The sequence below is a fragment of the Homo sapiens genome, chromosome 11, assembly GCF_000001405.40.
Source record: "Homo sapiens chromosome 11, GRCh38.p14 Primary Assembly".
Classification (NCBI taxonomy): domain Eukaryota; kingdom Metazoa; phylum Chordata; class Mammalia; order Primates; family Hominidae; genus Homo; species Homo sapiens.
The window spans coordinates 111112494-111118493 of record NC_000011.10 but is presented as its reverse complement, the minus strand read 5'-3'; positions in this window follow the sequence as shown (position 1 = coordinate 111118493).

Here is a 6000-nt window from a genome sequence, read left to right as displayed (position 1 = left end):
ACTTCCTGAGACTGGGTAATTTATAAAGAAAAGAGGTTCAATTGGCCCATGGTTCTGCAGGCTGTATAGGAAGTATGGCTGGGGAGGCCTCAGAAAACTTTCAATCATGGCAGAAGGGGAAGCAGGCACATTTTACATGGCTGGAGCCTGAGGAAGAGAGAGCGAAGGGGGAGTGCTACACAGTTAAACAATCAAGTCCTCAAGAATACACTCACTAGCACGAGAACAGCAAGGGGGAAATCTGCATTTCTGATCCAGTCGCCTTCCACCAGGAAGGGAAATCACCTCCCACCAGGCCTCTCCTCCAACACTGGGGATTACAATTCAACATGAGATTTGGGTGGGGACACAAATCCAAACAATATCACCAGCTATTAGAAGAACTGTTTTTTTCCTCACTCATCTCCACCCTGAGCTACAAGTGTCAAAAGAGAAAAAAAAATCTTCTAATTCCTCCCTTAAGTGTCATGTGATATAATGAAAAACCTGCAACTTCATGAGGTTAGGAGATCGAGACCATCCTGGCTAACATGGTGAAACCCTGTCTCTACTAAAGATACAAAAAATTAGCCAGATGTGGTGGTGGGCGCCTGTAGTACCAGCTACTTGGGAGGCTGAGGCAGGAGAATGGCTTGAACCCGGGAGGCAGAGCTTGTAGTGAGCCGAGATCGTGCCACTGCACTCCAGCCTAGGGGACAGAGCGAGACTCCATCCCAAAAACAAAAAACAAAAAACAAAAACCCTGCAACTTCCAGGGGCAAGAGATGAGTCCTACCTGTGCCTTTAATTGGCTGGTTGGCCATGAATGAGTGATTACTGCTCTAGTTTGTGCTTAACTGCTGGTCAAGAGCATAGGTTGAAATAGATGATTTATAAAGTCAGCTACTGTCCTGAAATACATGACTTGATGATTTACAGAGATGGCAAACTGCAGATAATCCCTGAACAATAGCAAGACCTAGTACTAATAAGGGTACTGTAATGGCTGAGCATACAAACTGCTAGTGTTCTCTTGGGAGTTTGTCTATGAATCCAGAAAGACGATCTTGAAAGGATGCTTTCCAGTTCAACTTACTTGAATTTCACTTAACATTTAAAATCAGGACGAAATATGAAAAAAAGTTGGATGATTTGCTCTCCTTTTTATAGCCTCATCTCAGGGCCTAATCTGCATAGTTTTGTGCAAGGATGGGAATGAAATAGTTGCGATGTCTTTCAAGATATTCTCTTAGCCTGAACTTTTATTTTTTAGTGGAAGGAAAATATTGTATGCTGCATCACTTAAATTCTTTGTCATTCTCTAAATATTTATGAACCCCCTAATAATATCTCCTGTTATTCCCAGTAACGTGATCATTTATCTCAAAAAAATTTGTTTTCTGAATCATCTGAGGATCTTGATAAAAATAAATTCCCTAAATCCCCTTTTAATTAAGGAAGACTCAGGAATCCAATGTACCCTGTGCTAAGGCACACTTCCTTCTCAGCATTTGCTCCTGGCTCTGTGAATCTAGGGGAAAGTAAGATCCAGAGACAGCCCACTTGGTTTTATCTGGGTCAGGCCTACATCACTCCTTATGGGAAACATGAATTTCCTGTCTTGAAAAAGACAAAATGATCACTGATCCCTGTGAATTTGTAAAATAGAATTTTGGAATAGTAACTGGAGGGGGTCACAAAGCCAGTTGGATGATCTTTTTTTAAGAAAAAAGTATAGGATCTTGAGCTAGGAAATGAGAGTTCAGGCTTTGGCTCTGTTGCCTGGGCAGAGTTTCCGGTTGTTTATAGGGACATTGATAACGCTTTCCCAATTGGATTGCCCTGTAGGTTAACTGTGCTAATACAGGTTGTTGGGGTCTTTTAGGAAGCCTAGGAATTAGCCCCGTCTTTGCTGATTAACCTCTGAACCAATTGAGGAATAAGATAAAGAGTCAGTAAACATTTACTGACAAAAGTTGAGGTTGCTGGATGTAGATTAGTGAAAGAGTCAAAATTAGTGTGCTAACCTCTGCCTCCCCAAACTCCATCCTGGAACAATAACTGAGGGAATGTGTGGGTTATCACTTTTTTCCCAGTCTGGATGGAGAAGGAAGAATAAAGAGACTATACTCTTCATGCTGATGACTGTACTTTAGCCCCACTGCATCAGAAATGTACGACCAACCAGTTAATTCACCTCTATGGTGACAGGAAAGGAAAGGTGGGACACAAGGCTAGGAGAGTTTAGGAAAACTGCTTCTTACAGAAAGCACAGGAGTTGGAGACAGACATTTCCTTCTAGGACAAAGGATAAGAACCAAGTCACCCTGGGGGCTGGCTGAGTTGAGGTTGGATGGAGGAGGCCACAAAACATTCTCATGACAGAGGGTTACGGTGAAGCCCCTGACCTGCTGATGACTGCAGAGACAGCTGTTTGTGGTCTCTGTTTTTCTGCTCAAGATTCAAGGTTGAAGACAGAAGCATGTGGTTGGATGAGCTTGGGTCACATGGCTCTCCAGGGAAAAGGGCAAGTGGATCCCCTCAGTGGGTCCCATCAGACTATTTATATTGTGAAAGAGTCATAAAAGAAATTAGGCATCTTTTAGGAAGGGGAAATAATAGCTCTCCAAAATCAATAAAAACCCACTAGAGTCACTTTCATATTATGAACTTTCCTTGCCTATGGGATCTAGTCCAGTGTTTGCATACAAGGACCTTCAGAGTCTGCCTGTAGCCTAAATTTCTAGACTCGTCTGTCATGTTTCTGCTCTGTCACTTTTCTGCTCTTCCCCCTCTTATCATTCCATAAATATTCTATGTTTTCTCATGCCTCTGTACTCTGGTTTCATCTGCCTGCAATACACCTCTCACTCCCTACCTTCTATCTTTATACCTGGAAGATTCCTACTCATCCTTCAAGGCCCAATTCCTGTTTACTTCTTGCCTTCTTACAGTGAAAGGCAGAATGAAACAATCCCTTTCCCTCAGTTTTCTGTGCTACCATGCATGTGTACAAATGTCTACTATTATATTACCATGTTGTATCAAAATTATTTGTTTATCCATCTGACGTGACAAGGGCAGGGATTACATATGTCTTATATGCCTGTGCTTCACAGAAATGTGAGTCATTCAGCGTGTTTGGTTGTTTTCTGTTTTTCCTGAAATCTTCACGCGAAGACTGTTAATGTGTAAAGAATACTAAACCGAAGTCAGAAGACTAATTGTGTCGCAGACTTCCATTTTTATGGCCACAGAACCATAAGGTCTCAGTTTCCTTATCTGCATTATTAGGAGGTTGTACTGAAGCAGTAGTTTACAGATAATAATAGTGTCTCAAACAAGATAGAAGTTAATTTCTCTCTTTCATGCAAGAAATCTTGAGATTAGAAGGCCAGGTCAGCTCTAGCGGCACCACAAAATCACGAGAGACACAAGTTCACTCTAATGGATCCTCTGCCCTATTTAGAATGTTGCTTCTTAGTCCAAGATGGCTGCTGGGATTAATACAGGCTCCATCCACACAGGTAGTAGAAGGGAGGAAGGGGTGAAGGAAAGCCGAGGCACTCAATTTTCTTATGGAAACTTTCGAGAAGTTTTATGTCTAACACTTACATCTCATTGGCCAAAACTTTTCCACTTGGCCAAAGCAGGCTGCAGAGAAGAATGGGAAATGTAGGTTTTTAGCTCCACAACCACATGCTCTGCTATACATAAAGGTTCTCTTTGCCAAATCTAGAAGGGAGAAACAATAATAAGAGATAACTAGCAGTCTCTGCTATATTGAACTATTTTGGTAAAGGTGATTAGAGAAGACCTCTTAAAGGAGATTAAAACTGAGCTTAAATTTGAAAGATGAGAAGGATTTAGTTAGGCAAAAAGCTATGGGAAGAATGTTCCATATAGAGGTAACAGCAAATGCAAGTTGGTTAGCTGAGTTGGTGTGATAGAGACCACACTGTATTCTCATCAATTGTGCACCAATTGTGTCAATTTCCTTTTCTGGGCATTCTGAAAGACAATATATGCCAGCCTTTCTTGCAGTTAGGTTGAGATCTTGTGACTGATCTCTGGTCAATGGTCTTTGTTCCTTTTTTAGGCTCAGGGAAGCCCCCTCCCCATCTTCTTTTTTTCAAGGAAATCATGAATGCTTGTGTTGAAGGTGATGATGTCTCAAATGGAGAGATCCTGAATCCCTGAGTCACTTCTTAGAGGAGGGCACATCAGACCCTGATATGAGTAAGAAATAATCATTTTATGAAACCACTGACACTTTCAGGTTGTTTGTTACCTTAGTATACCTTATCCTATTTTGGCTAATATAGATATATTTAGAGGACAAATAAAAAGCAAGGATGTCTTGAATACATTAAATGAAGTCTAAAGTGGGAGTGATATGAGATGAAATTGGAGAAAGAGACAGGTATAGAAGCAGACACTGAGTAATAAGTTTATAATGATAATCCAGTATGGAGACGATGGTATTTGAATTAGAGTGATGGCAATTGAGATGGAGAGAAGTAAATGGACTCCAGATACATCCTAGAACAAGAAACACTTCTTTTATACACAAACAATATAAAAGGGGGATCTTTTGATTGCAGAAGAGATGGAGGACCTAGATCCACACACATATAATCTCCCCTGCTCTCTACCTTAACTCCAAGACATTTATGTGCAGAGCTCTAAGATTCAAAGTCACACAGTTTAAAGATCACTGGACTACATGATGCTGGAGAGCTTTTCAGCTCTAAGATTCTGTAATTTTTTTTATTTCTTACTTATAAGACATATAGCTTGGCCTATTTTAAGTTTGACTCTTTTGTAAATTAAATGTTACTTTGGGGAGCCAGATTAAAAATATAATTATTGTATTGAGTCTTCAGAAAATAACCATTGAGCAGAGTGCCAAAAATGTTAGATGCCTGCTAAGAATACATTAAAAATTTTTTTTCAATTAAGTAACTAACACATGTTCCTTATGTAAAAATTTAAAAAGAAAATGAAGAGAGAGAGATATTACAAAAGTTACCATGGTTCTACAACTCAGAAGTAACCATAATTAATGTACATGTTGGTTTCATCAAGGTGAAGACTGGAGTCTTGGAGGATGGCTGTGTTGTGTAGTCAATTGTCTTGGGAATAGGGGTAGGGTGGGAAGTGTGTAATATAGCAGATCTTGAAATCAGAAAGAAAAGCATATAAGGTGTAGATATCTACTTGTGTCTCTAGGGACTCCTGGCTGGATTCTCAGTCCAGCCATAGTCTGGGGCTGTGGTTACTTCTCTCAGGCCCCAAACATTCCCACTGAGTAAAGAACAGGCTGCAAATCCGGGCAATGTAGGAAGAGCCCATCTCTAAAAAAAATATTAAAAAACCAACAAACTCAGCTGGGCATGGTGGTGTGCACCTGTAGTCCCATCTACTTGGGAGATTGAGGCAGGAGGATCAATTAAGCCCAGGAGTTCGAGGCTGCAGTGAGCTATGATTTTTGTCACTGCCCTTCAGGATGGCAACAGAGTGAGACCATGTCTCTAAAAAAATTTTTAAAAACTTCTTCAGAATCTTGGTTTTCCAGGCAAAATCATAGTAGTGGAATCAGAAGGTCTGAAATAAGTGTTGATTCAGCTCAACCCCCTTGTTTTCTCCACCTGGCAGGGGAAACACTGTGTTTTATGACTTCTCTGGGGTATGCAGTAGAGCATGAGAGGCAGTGTAATACTGTGGTTTAGCAGATAGTCTGAAACGAGGCTGCCTGGTTTAAAATCCCAGCTCTGTAACTGACTACCCAAGTGATTTGGAGCAAAGTACATAACCTCTCTGTGCCTCAGTTTTCTTTTTATTTTTTTTTAAATGGAGATAGTAATGATTCCTGACTTGTAGAGTTTCTGAAGGAGAAAATAAGTTATTATAGGTAAAATAATTGCAGCAGTGCCTGGCACTCAGTGACTTCTCAATAAATGATAGCCATTATCATTATTTAGTAGGAGAGCTGGGACTTGATAACAAGCCCCTGGATCC